This window comes from Homo sapiens, chromosome 20, assembly GCF_000001405.40.
Source record: "Homo sapiens chromosome 20, GRCh38.p14 Primary Assembly".
NCBI classification, from domain to species: domain Eukaryota; kingdom Metazoa; phylum Chordata; class Mammalia; order Primates; family Hominidae; genus Homo; species Homo sapiens.
Genome location: NC_000020.11, coordinates 31,401,222 through 31,419,293, shown reverse-complemented (window position 1 = coordinate 31,419,293; position 18,072 = coordinate 31,401,222). Strand labels below are relative to the sequence as shown.

General features: G+C 43.3%; 1 protein-coding gene across 3 annotated transcripts; it reads left to right on the top strand.

Annotated features, from left to right (window-relative positions):
• Window positions 1–771: 771 nt before the first annotated feature.
• On the top strand, window positions 772–14,449 carry DEFB121 (defensin beta 121). 3 transcript variants are annotated; one of them, XM_005260383.3, is made up of 4 exons: window positions 772–800; window positions 6,123–6,286; window positions 6,412–6,672; window positions 14,209–14,449. In XM_005260383.3, the coding sequence occupies exons 3-4, from the start codon at window positions 6,651–6,653 to the stop codon at window positions 14,379–14,381; spliced, it is 195 nt and encodes a 64-aa protein (XP_005260440.1). In that variant the 5' UTR covers window positions 772–800; window positions 6,123–6,286; window positions 6,412–6,650; the 3' UTR covers window positions 14,382–14,449. The 3 variants fall into 3 exon arrangements, with proteins under 3 accessions (XP_005260440.1, NP_001165303.1, NP_001011878.1); NM_001171832.2 differs by lacking the exons at window positions 772–800; window positions 6,123–6,286 and having other exon boundaries at window positions 6,456–6,672; NM_001011878.3 differs by lacking the exons at window positions 772–800; window positions 6,123–6,286; window positions 6,412–6,672 and adding an exon at window positions 13,079–13,199.
• Window positions 14,450–18,072: the final 3,623 nt, after the last annotated feature.

Genomic DNA, 18,072 nt, shown 5'->3' with positions numbered 1-18,072 from the left:
ATTATTTACTAATATGCTTATATGGTTACTTCTTAATTTTTTAGTTTTAGGCACTTTCCATTGGATTTCTGCTATGGAAAATGAGGATTTAGCTGTCTGCCATATCCTTTGAATATGTTCAGAACCTTTAGGTATTTTATCAATTTTGTCTTCCTGGAGACTTCTCTCCTTGGGCATTCAGACCTGCTTCACTCTGAACTGGTTGACATTACACCTGGTGACCTGATATTATCCTGGATCTCTGTTTGTATCATCCTGTGGATTCTTTTTGACTTTCTCCTGAGATCAATGTCTTGCTTTCTGGATCCTAGATCTTTCTTGATTTACTCTTATTTGGACAGAGCACCTCCTGATAGCTTCCTGAAAATGTCTGACTTCAATGTACTATCCTTATACTTGGTTAGTGGTTTGGTTGGTCACTCCATATTGGAAATTATTTTACTCTAGACTTTCGAAGGCATTGCCTCATTGTTCTTTCCAATATCTAGTGTTACCCATGCTGGGCAAATTCTTACGAAGGAATTCAAGAGTGAGCGGTGGTAGAAGAAACCAGCTTTATGGAGGCGGTGGCAGTGTTACAGCTCCTTGTAGGCTCCTGCAGAACAGGGCCACCCCACAGGCAGTGTGTTGAGAGTAGCAGCTCAGGGGCACTTCTGTAGTCATATTTATATCCATTTTTAATTCCACGAAAATTAAGGGAAGGGTTTTTTAGAAATTTTTAGAAAAGGGGTGGTAACTTCCGGGTGTTGCCATGGCAATGGTAAACTGTCACGACATTGGTGGGCGAGTCTTATGAAAAGGTGATTTTGGTGCCTCTTCCCTGTTTCAGCCAGTTTTCTATCTAGAGTTGAGTCCTGCCTCCTACCTCTTTACTGTGGAGAAATCCGAAGCCATTCGGGTTCTTCTCTTTGTCTGTGACTTGTTATTTCTCTCTGAAAGCTCTTAAGGTCTTCTCTCTAGGATTTTGACGTTTCATGTTGATGTGCCTAAATTTCTTTTTTCCCTTTTTTCTTTTTTTTTTTTTTTTTTTTTTTGAGACGGAGTCTCGCTCTGTCGCCCAGGCTGGAGTGCAGTGGCGGGACCTCGGCTCACTGCAAGCTCCGCCTCCCGGGTTCACGCCATTCTCCTGCCTCAGCCTCCCAAGTAGCTGGGACTACAGGCGCCCGCCACTACGCCCGGCTAATTTTTTGTATTTTTAGTAGAGACGGGGTTTCACCGTTTTAGCCGGGATGGTCTCGATCTCCTGACCTCGTGATCCGCCCGCCTCGGCCTCCCAAAGTGCTGGGATTACAGGCGTGAGCCACCGCGCCCGGCCTTTTTCCCTTTTTTCGAAATGGAGTTTTGCTCTTGTCGCCCAGGCTGAAGTGCAATGGCACAATCTCGGCTCACTGCAACCTCCTTCTCCTGGGTTCAAGCAATTCTCCTGCCTCAACCTCCTGAGTAGCTGGGATTACAGGCGCCCACCACCATGCCTGGCTAATTTTTGTATTTTTAGTAGAGACGGGGTTTCACCATGTTGGCCAGGCTGGTCTCAAACTCCTGACCTCAGGTGATTGGCCTGCCTCGGTCTGCCAAAGTGCTGGGATTACAGATGTGAGCCACTGTGCCCAACCATTGTCCCTAAATTTCGTGTGGGATTACTGAAATCAATTTTTCTGAGCACTCGGTGGGCCCTGTCAATCTGCAAACTCATGTCTTTCAATTTTAGGACAATCTTCCTTTACTTATTTCTTTGATAATTTCCTGGTCTTTGTTTTTCCTGTTCCCTGTTTCTGGTCTACTTATTTTTCATATGTTGGACTCCTTGATTGATTTGCTGGTTTTCTTATATTTTCTCTACTGCTTTTATTTTATCTCTGTCATTTTGTTATAATTTCTGGAAATTTCATCTTTGTACTTTTAATTTCTAAGTTTTTATCATTACTGGTTTTTCTTCTTTCTTTCTTTTTGAGACAGGGTCTGGCTGTGTTGTCCAGGCTGGAGTGCAGGGGTGTGACCTCCACTCACTGCAACCTTCACCTACCAGGTTCAAGCAATTCTTCTGCCTCAGCCTCCCAAGTACCTGAGATTACAGGCACACATCACCACACCTGGCTAATTTTTGTATTGTTAGTACAGACGGGGTTTCACCATGTTGCCAGGCTGGTCTTGAACTCCTGACCTCAAGTGATCTGCCTGCTTCGGCCTCCCAAAGTGCTGGGATTATAGATGTGAGCCATTGCGCCCGGCCTTCTTTCTTTTCTAATGTGAAGGGAGGCCTATATAGACAAGCTACTGGGCCTTATCCGTCTTAAAACACCCCTTTTAAGGTTTTTGCTTGAGATCAGTCTCCCTGCTTTAAGAAAGGGAGAGGACTCAGATAAACAGAGTATACTGAGAGGCCTCACCAGTATAAGAGAATATACTGTTCTACTTTATAGGGAGAGGAAACTTGGGATAATAAGCCTAGGAAAAAAAAGACCAAATAGACCCATGATAGTTGTCTTCAAGCGCTTAACGTGGAATTGTTTTTGGACTTATTCTCTGGAACTGTTAAAGGTCAGAATTAGGAATAATAGGTAGATGTTACAGAAAGGTAAATTCTGGCTTAATTGATATAATCTCCTAAAAATTAGAGGCGTCCAGTGATGGAATGCATTATCTTGACATGTATTGATTTTTCCATTGCTGGAAGAGCTTTAAGAGAGAAGGCAAGGGTTGTTTAGAGGGTGTTCTTGCTTTTGATACGTGGCAGATGCAACAACTTCTAAGGTCTGAATTCTGAGACTCTACACTCACAAACTTAAAGAAAAAATGGCTCTGTATTTCCAAAACTAAGGTTTTTCAAATATTATTTTTAAAGGAGCAGAAAACTTTTTAAAACCAAAAACTTACATGAAACTCAATATATCAAACAGATCAAAGTAGAGCTGCTCAGTTTAAAGTGCGAAGAAGGCCAGGCGCCGTGGCTTATGCCTGTAATCTCAGCACTTTGGGAGGCCAAAGCGGGCAAATCACTTGAGGTCAGGAGTTTGAGACCAGCCTGGCTAACATGGTGGAACCCCATCTCTACTAAAAATACAAAAATTAACTGGGCGTGGTGGCGCACACCTGTAGTCCCAGCTACTTGGGAGACTGAGGCAGGAGAATTGCTTGAACCCCAGAGGTGGAGATTGCAGTGAGCCGAGATCGTGCCACTGAACTCCAGCCTGTGTGACAGAGTAAGACTCTGTCTAAAAACAAACAAACAAACAAACAAAAAAGTGGGAAGAAGGGCGCAGATCTCTGCCTTTTCAACCTCCCTCAGTTCCCTGATTTTGACCTGAGAACCAAGTCTAAGTATTTTACATTTGCATTCAAAGACTATAAAAATCTCATTTTTATGCAGTTTTCCCACATTATATGGTGCAGGAGCTGGCAGCTGCAGCCAGGCAGTATCTTCATTATTTCCAGATGGCTTGCAAATGTTCCTGCCACCACTCCTCAGTTCACACTGCTCCCTTGCCTGAAGTACTCTTTTACACCCTCTCCTTCTCCACCATTTCTCTGAAACCTATTCTCCTTCAAGCCTTGGAGAAGGAGAAGGTCCTCCATGAACCCCTCCCTGAATGCCCTGGCCCTTGGGTGGTTGTTCCCATGCTCCGTTCTACTGTAATATATATATATTTATTTTGATTAGACAGCCTACTTTGCAGTATTTTTATGTATGTGGACATTCTGCCTGACCACTGTGATGATATATTTGGTAGTCAGTAAGAGTGTTCATCGCCGGCATGGTAGCTCACTCCTGTAATCCCAGTACTTTGGGAGGCCGAGGCTAGCGGATCACCTGAGGTCAAGAGTTTGAGACCAGCCTGGCCAACATGGTGAAACCCTGTCTCTAATAAAAATAGAAAAATTAGCCAGGCATGGTGGCTGGTGCCTGTGATCCCACCTACTTGGGAGGCTGAGGCATGAGAATCGCTTGAATCTGGGAGGCGGACGTTACAGTGAGCCGAGATCGTACCACTCCACTCCAGCCTGGGGGATAGAGCGAGACTCTGTCTCCAACAGAAAAAAAAAAAAAAGGACTGTACATCAAATATTCTGGCTTTCTAAGTTTTTCAAAGATTTTATTTTATTGTGGTAAGAACACAACATGTTGAGATCTGTTTTAACAATTTTTTGTGTTCAACACATTATTATTGACTCTAGGTACAATGTAGTACAGCAGATTTCTAAAACTTTAAACATTTTTTTAAATTTTTTGAGACAGGGTCTGACTCTGTCACCCAGGCTGGAGTGCAGTGGCACAAGCACGGCTCACTGCAGCCTCCACCTTTTAGGCTCAAGAGATCCTCTCCCATCTCAGCACCACCTCCCCACTGTCCCTGAGTAGCTGGGACTATAGGTGCATGCCACCATGCCCAGCTAATTTTTTATTTTTAATAGAGACAAGGTCTCGCTATGTTGCTTAGGCTGGTCTTGAACTCCTGGGCTCAAGGGATCCTCCTGCCTCAGCCTCCCAAAGTGCTGGGACTACAGGCGTGAGCTACTGCGCCTGGCCTCTATAATTTATTCATCTTGCTTAACAGAAACTTTCTGCTCATTGATTAGTAATTCCTAATTTCCCTCACTCCCCAGCTCCTGACAATCATCATGCCACTCTTTGTTGATATAAGTTTGACTGTTTTAGACACTTCGTATAACTGGAATAATTCAGCATTTGTCTTTCCGTGACTGGTTTATTTCACTTAGCATAACGCCCTCAAGGCTCATTCACGTCATCACATGTTGCAGAATTCCCTTATTTTTAAAGGCTGACTAGTATTCTGCTGTGTGTATACACCACATTTTCTTTATCCATTCATTTGTTGATGGACATTTAGCTTGTTTCCATATCTTGGCTATGGTCAATAATGCCAATGAACGTGGGTGTGCAGATATCTCTTCAAGATACTGATTCAGTTTATTTGGATATATATCCAGAAATGGAATGGCTGGGTCATATAATCTCTTTCTTTCCTTCCTTTCCTTCCTTTGCCTTCCTTTCCTTCCTTTCCTCCCCTTCCCCTTCCTTCCTTTCTTCCTTCCTTTCTCTCTTTCCTTCTTTCTTTCTTTCTTCCTTTTGATGGAGTTTCACTCTTATTGCCCAGGCTGGAGGGCAATGGCATGATCTCAGCTCACTGCAACCTCTGCCTCCCAGGTTCAAGCAATTCTCCTGCCTCAGCCTCCTGAGTAGCTGGGATTACAGGCATGTGCCACCACGGCCAGTTAATTTTGTATTTTTAGTTGAGGCAGGGTTTCTCCATATTGGTCAGGCTGGTCTCGAACTCCTGACCTCAGGTAATCTGCCTGCCTCAGCCTCCCAAAGTGCTGGAATTACAGGCGTGAGCCACCTTACCCCGCCTATCTTTCATTTTTTGAAGAACCTCCATACCGTTTTCCATAGTGGCCACACCATTTTACATTCCCACCCAGCGTGTGCAAGGGTTCCATTTTCTCCACAGCCTTGCCCACAATTGTCTTTTGTTGTTTGGATAATTCTGGCTTTCTGCATTCTAAGCCCATTGTAGGATTGTACTTTTGGCCCTCTTGTGGTTGGATGGAGCCATGTCACTGTCGTAGCCAGTGGAGTTATGAGGTGGTTACATTTTACTTCCAAGGCCAGGGCATATAATGGCTAGTTGAAGACTCTCTAGAGCTCTCTTTTCCTCTGCCATGGTGATCAGCACCAAATGAGTGGCTACTCAGTCAGCTTGGGTTCCACACTGAGATATGGGGCAGTGTCCCCAGCCAGCCTTCAGTGGATATGCAGCATGTATGGGAAATAGACAAACAGACCTCTGTTCTTAGAAGCCACCAAGATTCTTCTTTTTTTGGTTACTGTGGCATACCCTGGTTTATCCTAACAGAGCTGGCTGTTAGAGGACAGTATCCTTACTGCTCTGAATTCCTGGTGCTCAGGAGAGTGCTCTGTATGTAAAAGGTACTTAATCAAGATTTGATTTATTTAGAAAACATTTCTTGTGTGTGCTTTTGAGGGATATGAAGCTCATTTAAAAATACTTGTTTCCCATTTTCCTCAATAAGCGGTAAGCATGTTAGGGACAGAAACCCTCTTGAACATTTCTGGCCTCATCTCCCCGCACCTTTGTCCTTAGTCCACAGGAAACTTAAAATGGCCTGGGTAGCTTTGGATGTGGAGTAGTTAAAGGCCCTTGAGGAGGGATGAGAAGCTGATCTGACAAGAAGAGAGCAGTGGTTCATTCCTGGACAAGAAGACAAATGAACAATTGAGGGAAAGAGCAGCTTCTGGAAAGATTTGGTAACAGTAAAGATAAGAGGCCAGTGAAGAGATCTTGGGAGGGACAAGGAGAGCTGGGAAAAGGGATAAGCTTGGAAACATGTTCTGATAAAAAGCCAGGCATTTCCTCTGTTATCTTTCACCAGTGCCCGAACAGAGTTACATCGTATACACTCTGGACACAAAGGAGAGCTGTCCTTGAGCCTCGACTCTGGGTGAGCCCTCTGGGTCTTAGATTTGAGATGCAATTTTCAAACTTGAAGATCACGGTGAGCAGAGAGATCTCTGAGCTACTGCCAATCCTAATGTCCCTTGTATTGAGCGTTGACTGTGTTGACAATGAAAAGCCAGAAGAGCCTCAAGGAGGAAAGAGGTCAATAGCCAAATGTTTCAAGAAGTCAAGGAAGGTGAGGATTCATAGTAAATAACAGTAACTACCAGTTGTCAGAGGCTTTCCTCTATGCCAGGCACTATTCCCTGAGCTTTACAAGCATCACCTAATTTAATCTTCACAGCAAACCTCTGCTGTCAGTAGTATCATCTCCATATTAGAGATAATTAAACTGAAGTTCAGAGAGATTAACTAACTTGTTCAAAGTCACATGGCTAATATGTGGCAAAGTGAGGATTTGAACCCAGATTTGTCTGGCTCCAAATCTTGTATTCTTTCCATTTCCCCACATTACCCCTAGTGATAGATTGTCAAACGTCACTTCAAATAAATCAAAGAAAAAAGCCCAACATATCCATTACCATTACTAGTTACACATAGCACCAGGAACCAGAGAGTTGGAATATAATAGAACTCCAGAAAATTTCCAAGCCTTATTTGGGCCTGAAGTTTCATCTTCTTTGCCCACTACCCTCCAATGCTTCCTATCCCCAAAGATTACAAAGAAGTGATATGTAGATATATTTCCTTTCCCTGCTGCAGTGCTGAGAGCAAGGAACTAACCAGAAGTGGGTGGAAGAAATCTGAGAAGGGAGTAGAAGGATGCTGGGCAAACTCTTCAGTTAGGGTCACTTATGACTTATGGGCCAAAGCAAGAGTCAATGGCCAGGCAGGGAACAGGTTCTGAGTTTTCTGAATTTCAGATACCACCCTATCTTCTACTAAGCCAGAGATGGCAGTGGTACCCACTTGAGGCTCAAGAAGAGGGGAATGATGTTGAATTAAGGACCACAGCACTGCAGAAACCTACTTAAAGGGGTTGAGTACACTGAATTGGACTTAGGTCCAGGTAACTGCGTACACCTTTAATATGTGGACTCCAGGCTCCTGGACACTTCACAGCACCGTCCACTCATCAGTACCAACCTTTCTCTACTGAGTGCCTCCTACCTTTCTTCATCCTCAGATAATTTTCCTAATGTACCATTTGCAGATTCATTTGTAGTTCTGTAATCTTTGGAAAACACATATTCGCTCCTCAGATCTTTATCGCTTTCTTTTTTTTTTTTGCTCTGCGTTCATACATTCTTTTTTACTTTTCTTTTTTCACTGAAAGGCATTCACCCCATCTATTGAGAGCATATGATATGACTTCATGTGTGGCAACAAAGAAAAGCTGAAATGTGCAGATATCAGTAAGGGAGGTTGTTCCACAGTTTTCTATCCTTTTAAAATGGTTTATCTCTATTAGATAATGAATAAGATTATGTTCAGCCAATCAGATTATTTCCTTGGAGAGCTTGAAATGGGAGTCTTGGCAACATGGTTGGATATCAGTAGAAGTTAAGATGTGGAATCTTAAGCAGAATCTAAGAATGGTGGACACTCCAGAACTGTAGATGTATATAGTTCAGCTGTGGGAAGTCCTTTTTAGCTCACGAAGCAATCAAGGCATTTTGTTTCACAGTTTTTTGTGACAGATAGGAAAAGGGTCTTTTATGAGAGTCTTCTCTACTGCTGAAAACTACTATTAATTCCGATAAATCATGCACATAATGGATTCAGGTCATCCCTTTATTAGGCAGCCTTATTCTGCTTATCAGTGTTCACAAGAGCAAACTTGCAGGGCTATGATGGAGTTCTTTAAAGAAGGGAAGTAGATCTCAAAACCATTCAGTGTAGATGAAACTCTGTGCCACTGGGGGTTCCTTGGATGCATAAAGAAAGTACCTTCTAGACTAAGACTTCTGCAAGGATGGTGCTCCCATGAGTTGCTCTCTTTCTCTCTCTCTCTCTCTCTCTCTCTCTCTCTCATTTTTCAAGGCTCTCAGCCCAGTATCCTACCCTTCTAACCAGAAACAATCCCCTTTCTCAAGAGTGGAGGAAGTTGTGCCGTTTGCTTGAATGGCATCTCAGGTTTCCTCTCTGCAGTCCCTTCTGGAAGGAGAGGAAATGGGTTCCAGTCCACGGGGCTGATACCTTACTAATGATCTTTAGAAGTAAGCCCCTTGTCAATATAGCACTTTATTTTAGTCCTCTGTTGCAGAGGGTTATGTATTTATGGCAGATTTATTGTCATTGGCCTTATACAAAGCCCTTCTCTTATTTTATTTTACTGATTTATTAACTTTTATCCCCATAATCAACTCCTATCCATCTCTCACATAGGCAACTCCTATGATGTTTAACTCCTATGATGTATCTTGTCACCCAGGTAGTGAGCATAGTATATAATAGGTAGTTTTTCAGCCCTTGCCTCCCTCCCTCTCTCCTGACTCTAGTAGTCCCCAGTGTCTATGGTTCCCCTCTTTATGTTCACATGTACCCAAGGTTTGTCTCCAACTTGTAAGTGAGGACATGTGGTATTTGGTTTTCTGTTTCTGCATCAGTTGGCTTAGGATAATGACCTCCAGCTGCATCCATGTTGCTGCAAAGGATGTGATTTCCTTCTTTTTGATGGCTGCATAGTATTCCATGGTATATGTGTACCACATTAAATGTGTATATATTTTAAGTGGTTTTATGTTATTTATCGGATTCTGTTGCTTATTTTAAAAACTATTTGCACAGGTTTTTTTTAAAGTCAACTTTTTTGAGGTATAATTTATATAAAACATAATGTGTAAATTTTGATGAATTTTGACATCTGCATATAGAACATTTTCATCACTCTGAAAGTTCCCTCATGCCCCATCTCAGTCAATGCCCACTTCCTCCCATCAGCCCCAGGCAACCACTGATCTGTTTTTTGTCACTGTAGATTAGGTTTGTGTTTTCTAGAGTTTCATGTGAATAAGCTTGTTCAGTATGTTCTTCTTTGGTCTGGATTTTTCCACTCAGGCTAATGCTTTTAAAAAATGTTTATTATTATTTTTATTATTATTCTTTTGAGACAGTGTTTCGCTCTTGTTGTCCAGGCTGGAGTGCAGTGGCATGATCTTGGCTCAGGTTCACTGCAACCTCCGCCTCCCGGGTTCAAGCAATTCTCCTGCCTCAGCCTACCAAGTAGCTGGGATTACAGGCACCCGCCACCATGTCTGGCTAATTTTGTTATTTTTGGTAGAGACAGGGTTTCACCATGTTGGCCAGGCTAGTCTCGAACTCCTGACCTCAGATGATCCACCCACCTTGGCCTCTCAAAGTGCTGGGATTACAGGCGTGAACCACCACACCCAGCTTGCTCTTTAGGTTCATCCGTATGTTGCATAGCAGTGGTTAATTCTTTGTTGCTGAATAGTATTCTATTACATGGAGATATCAGAATTTATCTGTTTACTAATTAATGGACTTTTGGGTTGTTTTCACTTATGGTGAATAAAGTTACTATGACAATTCAAGTTTTGACGTGGACATATGTCTTCATTTATCTTTGATAAATACCAAAGAGAGGAGTTGTTTGGTTGTATGATAAGTTTATGTTTAACTTTATAAGAAACTGTTAAACTGTTTTTCCAAAGTGGAGATACCAAGAAAATCAGCAATAATTTTGTTTATTTTATTTTTTTAACAAGTTTTTTTAAAATAGAGAAGGGACCTTGCTATGTCATCCAGGCTGGTCTCAAACTCCTGGCCTCAAGTGATCTGTTTGCCTTGGTACATTTTTTTTTTTTGAGATGTAGTTTCACTCCTGTTGTTCAGGCTGGAGTGCAATGGCACCATCTCGGCTCACTGCAACCTCTGCCTCCCAGGTTCAAACAATTCTCCTGCCTCAACCTCCCGAGTAGCTGGGGTTACAGTTGCTCACCACCCCACATGGCTAATTTTTGTATTTTTAGTAGAGACGAGGTTTCACCATGTTGGCCAGGCTGGTCTCGAATTCCTGGCTTCAGGTGATTCACCTGTCTCAGTCTCCCAAAGTGCTGGAATTACAGGCGTGAGCCACCATGCCCAGCCAGTACATTTTTAAATCGTTGAAAACAATCAAATTTCATTTAGAGATGTGAAAATTATACAAAATTTAAACTTGAGTGTCTATAAATAAGTTTTATTGGAATACAGCCACACTCATTTGCTTATATATTGTCTGTGGGTAATTTTGTCCTATAGCTGTAGAGTTGAGTAGTTGTGATAGTTGTGGCTGGCAAATCCTAAAGTATTTACCATCTGGGCTTTATAGAAAAAGTGACCTCCGGAGCATTAATTTTTCTTCAGACAACAAGAAAATTTATCTTGTCTTTTTTTTGTTTTTGGAGACAGGGTCTCTGTTGAGCTGGCTGGAGTGCAGTGGTGCAATTTTAGCTCATTGTAGCTTCGACCTCCTGGGCTCAAATGATTTTCCTGCCTCAGCCTCCCTAGTAGGTAGGACTACAGCTTTGCCCCACCATGCCCGGCTATTTAAAACTTTTTTTGTGTGTGTGTAGAGATGGAGTCTCGTTATGTTGCTGAGGCTGGTTTCAAACTCTTGGCTTCAAGCAATCCTCCTGCCTTAGCCTCCCGAATTGTGGGGATTACAGGCAGGAGCCTCTGCTCCTGGCTTGTTGTTTTCTTCCATGTTAGAAAGAAGATATTCCTCTTATTAGTATGTCTTTATTTCTGTCCATTTTGAAATGATAGACCTAGGCCAGGTGCAGTGGCTCACGCCTGTAATCCCAGCACTTTGGGAGGCTGAGGCGGGTGGATCACCTGAGGTCAGGAGTTTGAGACAAGCCATGGCCAACATGGTGAAACCTCGTCTCTACCAAAAATACAAAAATTAGCTGGGTGTGGTGGCGCGTGCCTGTAGTCCTAGCTACTCGGGGGGCTAAGGCAGGAGAACTGCTTGAACCCGGGGGGCAGAGGTTGCAATGAGCTGAGATGGTGCCACGGCACTCCAGCCTGGGCAACAGAGCAAGACTCTGTCTTAAAGAAAAAAGAAAAAGAAAAGAAAGATAGACCTTACCATTATTGTCCTAAAAAGCACTTGGCTCTTTCCTGATCTATCTGCTGGCCTTGTGTATAAGTTAGCCATTACTATGTAATGTTCCACTCCAAAACTCAGTGGCTTAAAACATCAATCCTTTATATTTGGCTAGATTGCCCTGCTTGAGGCTGGAATGCCTGGGGCAGCTCTGTTTCTCACTGTAGATCTGTGAGTCGCCTGGAGTAGCTGTGCCCCACGTATCTCTCATCCTCCTTGGACCACTGGGGCATGTTCTTCTCATAGTGATGGCAGAGACACAGAAGGGCAAATGAAAATATTCATCATCTCTTAAAACCTAGGCTTACAACCGGCACACCGTCACTTCTGCCCACATATCACTAGCCAAAGCAAATCACATGCCAAGGCCAAAGTGAAGGGAAAATGAAATAGAGTTCTCCTAGGATGAGACCTTGGCAAATGTGTGAATTCAAGTAGGGATGAAGAAGTAGGGCCAAGATTACAATCTACCATTTCTTTCTTTCTTTTTTGAGACAGAGTCTCGCTCTGTTGCCCAGGCTGGAGTGCAGTGGCACAATCTCGGCTCACTGCAACCTCCGCCTCCCGGATTCAAGCTAGTCTCCTGCTTCAGCCTCCTGAATAGCTGGGACTACAGTGGCCAGCCACCACGCCCGGCTAATTTTTTGTATTTTTTTTTGTAGAGACGGGGTTTCACTGAGTTAGCCAGGATGGTCTCGATCTCCTGAACTTGTGATCCGCCTGCCTCGGCCTCCCAAGTTGCTGGGGCAATCTACCATTTCTTATAAGAAAGACCAAGCTGGGCATGATGGCTCATGCCTTTAATCCTAGCACTTTGGGAGGCCAAAGCAGGAGAATTGCTTGAGACCAGGAATTCGAGGTTCCAGTGAGCTATGATTGTGCCACTGCACTCCAGCCTGGGTGACAGAACAAGACTGTCTCAAAAAAATAAGTAATAATAAAAAAAAGACCACAACAATAATAAATGGCTTTTCTTTTGCTACCTATGAGGGTGCTACTTGTTCCTATTAAATATGTACTGTTAAAAGTAAGGGCTATGGCTTTCCTGCTCATTCCACTCCATGAATACTGACATTCTGGTTTCCAGTGGTGATGGCCATGGAGCTATTAAGGTATTTTCCCCTGCTCTGCCCTTCATTTGGTATTATAATGAATCATCAACATATGGGACATCCTAAGATGTCCTTGTTGCTGGGAAGAACCCAAGGCGCAGAGAAGTATCACTCCTTTTCTGTCTTATCTCTTTTTCTCTCTCTTTTTTTCTCATTAATGAAAAACAAATTAGAGATGAAAATATTTTTCCCCTTCTTGGTTCTCCAGCTGTATTATAAAATTCTTCAGAGGCAAGGCCGTATCTTCTCTTTGTTAACGTCCCTTCCCCCTCTCCCAGCCTCCTCAGGCAGTGTGGTTGATACCTTCCTTGCCTGCCTGTCTGATCTCAAATGACTGTTCCCGTTCTGGTTCACTGATCTTGGCTCTGCCATGCTCCTCAAGGCAATAAATACCAGTCTGGACTGCCCAGAATGGAGTCCTCTGTCTGTTTTACCAGTTGAGAAGCCTCCTATCCCTCCCTGATCATTCATCATTCATGAAGCTCCTTCTTCTGCTTTTGACTGTTACTCTGCTCCTGGCCCAGGTCACCCCAGGTAAACAGGATCTCCAGAAGGGGATGGGAGTCAGGAAACCTGATGCATGTTCAGAGAACTCTGGGGACTCTGACAGGTTGGGCTGGGAGAATGGCCTGGTAGAGCTCATTGAGGCCTTTAGGTAGTCTCTCTAGTTATGGGGAAGTTTGAGTTCTCTGGTACCAAATGGTCTTCCCAGTGCCCAGTACTTGACCATTCCAACCTTATCTCTGGTTAGCTCTGGAAAAGCTGAACGTGATGACCTGAGGATGGGATAGGGTGTAAAGAGAGAGACTTGGGTATGGAGTATAGAGAAAATGGGGACTTTTTCAAAAACATTCATTGAAAGGATTTGAATTTTGATGCATTGTTGCCTCTAGGAAAATGGTTCTCAAATTTCTGATTGTTTGAGGATTCTGATTCCACTTTTTAATGCAACCTCAAATCATCTGGGTTACCTTAGGTTGTAGGTTCCCTGGAATAGCTGTTCCTAATTCCCTTGACTGGTTGGGGCCAGAGAAAAGTCCCAGGATGTTGTGAAGAAGGCAGTATGATATTCTTGGGAGTTTTAAAGGTGCCCTAGAAGACTTACAGATGTTAAATGAGTTTATTTAATATTCCTGTCACCTTTCATTGATATGGTCAGAGGGGGTACCAAAGAACAATGAGAAAAGGTGGCTAATTGCTACTGGGCACCTGGGTACATTATAATATGGGGGAGATAAAACCCTTGGGAGAGGGGTCCTCTTCCCCCTCCCAAGGAGCTGGCCAAGGAGGGGAAGCTATCCAGTAGGTCCTATGCCACTGAGTTGGGGGGACTCTGGGGGTTCTAACAGGGGGCACAAGTGAAGGAAGAAAGCGTAGTGGTCTATAATCTCCCTTAAACTTAGGGGATCCTGTGTAAGAGCTTCTTCCCCACAGACCTCCTCATTTCCCTCCTACTCCTCTACTGGGCTTTAGCCTCTTCCTTTCACACCTTTCTGCTTTCTTTCAAAACTGACTCTATTCTCTTCTTCCCTTTTGTTTTCAGTCATGAAATGTTGGGGCAAGTCAGGCAGGTGCAGAACAACATGTAAAGAAAGTGAAGTATACTATATATTATGCAAAACTGAGGCTAAGTGCTGTGTGGATCCCAAGTATGTACCTGTAAAACCAAAATTAACAGACACAAATACAAGCCTGGAATCAACTTCTGCAGTCTGACACCTCTCTTCCAACCTTGAGTCTCAACATCATGGGATCCTGCAGTTCTATTAAATCATTCTTGGCAACACCCTGTTTCTGTCTGATAGTTCCACCTAGTTACATTTAGAAACAAGTAAATAAAGAAGAAAGGTTGTGTGCGTGTGTGTGTGTGTGTGTGTGTGTGTGTCCGGTGTGCATGTTAGGAAGAACAGGATGGACCAGTAGGTGGTAACAATCTAAACCTTGCAAATAGCTCCTAGCCTGCTGACCCATAGCTGGTCCAAGAGGGCATGAATTAAAGAATATTCATTATATCTACTTGATTCCTGTTTTCTTCTAGACCAGCACTGCCAATAGAACATTCTGCCATGATGGAAATATTTCCTGTCTATGTTGTTCAATATGGTAGCTACTAGCCACATGTGGCTACTGAGCACTTGAAATGTGCCCAGTGTGAATGCGGACCCGAAGTTTTAATTTGATTCAATCGAGCTTTAAATTTATATAGCTAAATGTGGCTAGTGGTGATTGTATTGTATAGCAATGGCTTTAGAGTCTAGGCTGAGGCATGCTGTGGGTCTCAATCTATGAGTATTTTAGGGGAGTCCAGGAGGCAAGTATGATGAACACAAGAACCCATTCTTGGCCCATGGCCTCTTTCTACTCCCACACCAAAGGTTATAACTTTCCCTTGATCACACCTGCAGTTCTGCCCCTCAGGGGCTCTAGGGCAATGCCTCTTGTGAGTCTTCCTCATGGTGGACAGTGCTGGCATCAGGCCATCTGTGGATCCTTGCTCCATCTCTTTCCATTCCCTCTAGTTGTGGCCATGGGACATTAAACTGCTGGCTAATCATTTTGCAGGACAGATCCTGAACTGAGACGACAGGAATTTTACCACATTCAGCCCCATGATCCCAAGTATCCCCAACTCTTGCTACTTATCTGACTAATGTAAAAGAACTTGATTCTTTATCCTGAGTTGAAAAGTTCTATTTGGAGTCACCTGCCTCCTATTCAGCCCTTTCATACTGGAGTCCTGACCTGGCTTCAGCCCTATGTCCCCAGTTCACCTTCCTGATGACAAACTTCAGCCTCAGAGTCAGTGTCTAAGTATCATCAAGCTGTCTAGGGAAGAGCGTTCGAAGCAGGATCAGAAGATCTGGAGTCAAATCTTTGCTTAATCGCATGTCAGCTGCATGACCCTAGGCAAGCCATTTAACCCTCTCTGCTCTATTTTCTTGTCTCTAAAATGGGGAACTTTCCTACTCAAGTCATAGGGATGTCATGAGAATTAAATGAGATAACAGACAGGAAAGTGCCCAGCACAGAATCTAGCCCACATTCAGTTCTTGATAAATGTAAGTAGAATCTAGGTAGATCTCATTTTGTAATTTGCTACTTCTAGGCTCTGCGTAGCAATTTTTTGCCTGGAAAAAGTTAAATCCTCCTTCACTACGTTGCCACCAACTCCTACTTCTCAGAGTTAATAACTCTTAAAGTTGAAGTAAAGCTCTATACCCTACCATTTTTTCACTAATTTTCTTACCCTCCCGACTCAATTTCCGTCCAGTCTAGCCCTGTAATGTTTCTCTTGCAGACTTAGCTCCCTTGCTCTACTCTGCATTGTATCAATGCCAAACTCCCAACCATGGTAGAATACAACCACCTACTTGCTTTCTCTATAGGTAAACTTTATTTTTCAAGACAAGATCTTACTCTGTTACCCAGGCTGGAGTGCAGTAGTGTGATCATAGCTCATTACAGCCTTAAACTCCTGGATTCAAGGGATTATCCTGCCTCAGCTTCCCAAGTAGCTGGGACTACAGGTGTGTGCTACCACTCTTGGCAGTTAAAAAAAATTTTTTTTTAATAGAGATGGGGGTCTTGCTATGTTGCCCAGGCTGGTCTTGAACTCCTGGCCTTAAGTGATCATCCTCCTGCCTTGGTCTCCCTAAGGGTTGGGATTACAGGCGTAAGCCACTGTGCCTGACCTATATAGGTCAGCAGCTGATTGTTCTTAGAAAAAATAATCCAACTAGTCTCACTGATTTCACTGGAAATTCACGGCCTCCAACCTCAAAGACCACTCAACACTGCCCAGCTAATCTCCTGTTTTTCCCTAAGAAGCTTGATTTCTCATTCTTTGAAATGACTAGTCCATGATTTTTCCTTTCTCCTCAATCTTCTACCATTCCCTGTCCCCACCAAAATATCACTTCTTGCCTCATATTTCAAGAAAATAGAAGCCATCAGAAGCAACTCCTTCATCTTCTCTCTACTAAGTCTACACACTCCGGTATTGGGTCCTACAGCTCCTGTCTTCCTTTTGTTTTCAGTGGAAGAATGATGTCTACACCTGAGAAACTGGCCCCCTTACTTGTTCACATTTGTCTCCTCTCCCCTACTCAATAACTTCATATTCATTTATTCTCCTTATTCTCCCCTTCTCTGCCAGATCATTTCTATCATACAAAGATGTTCGAGTACCTCCCAGATTAAAAAAAAAAAAAGATCCCTGAGTCCCACATTCCTCTCTGGACGATGCCTCGTTTATTTGCAGTGCTTAAACAAATACTTCTCAAAATGTTGCCTGCCTTCACTTTATCCCTTTTTTCTCATTCACCTTTCAACTCAGTTCAATTTGGCTTTGACTGTGCCTCTGAACCTTTTCTAGTAAAGATTACCAACTATCTCCAGTGTTGCCAAACCCAACAGAGGCACCCCTGTTTTCCTCTTATTGACCTCTGAAGAGGTGTTTGACATTGAGGCCACGACATCCTCATTGAAATGCTTTCTTCTCTTGCCTTCTAAGATGGCAGACTCCCCTGGTTTTCCTCTGATCACCTCGGCCATTCATTTTCAGTCTTCTCTCCTGGCTCCTCCTTCCCTTTCCAAAGGCCAGGGACTTGTTTCTAGGCTCCTTTTGTCTTTTCTCTCTGCTCTTTTTCACTAGGTACTTTGACTACCCTCTATATGCTGATCACTCTCAAATTCATAGCTCCTACCCTAAACTTTCTCTAGTGTCTAAACTGGTATATCTTCCCCCTTAAATGACATCTCCATCTGGTCACCTAACATATCAGAATGGAACTCCTAATGGGGACCTCACCTCACTAGGCACTGTTAGTACCCTGTTATTTCCCTTCTTAGGAAATGGTAACAACATGTGCCCAGATGCACCAAACCTACAAGTCATGTGTGATTCCTCACTTCACCTCCCTGCATTCAATTTCTCAGCAAGTCCTGTGGCTCTACCTTCAAAACACATATCAAAATTATCCATTTCTCTCCATCTAGTTCAGGCCACTGCTATCTTCACCTGATCTTTTACAATAGTCTCCTGTTTTCTGTAATTAATTTTCCACATAGCAGCCAAATGGTAAATTATTTTCATTTTTTTCAGATCTAGTCCTAAATCCAGAAAGGTAAAGGATATCCTGTCACTACTCTGTTTTGCACCAAACAATAGCTTTCCATTTCATTAAGAATAACATCCAGATAACATCCAGACTCCTTGTCATGGACTGGGAGGCCCTGCCCTACCAGGCCTTGTTCACCTCTCTGGCCTCCTCCTTATACTCAGGTCACCCAGGTTTCCTTTCTGTTCCTTGATGTCAACAAGCTCTTTTGTTGTCTCAGGGCCTTGCTACATGCTGTTCCCTCTTCCCAAGAAGGCTCTGCCTCTGATGTTTATATGACTGTTTTT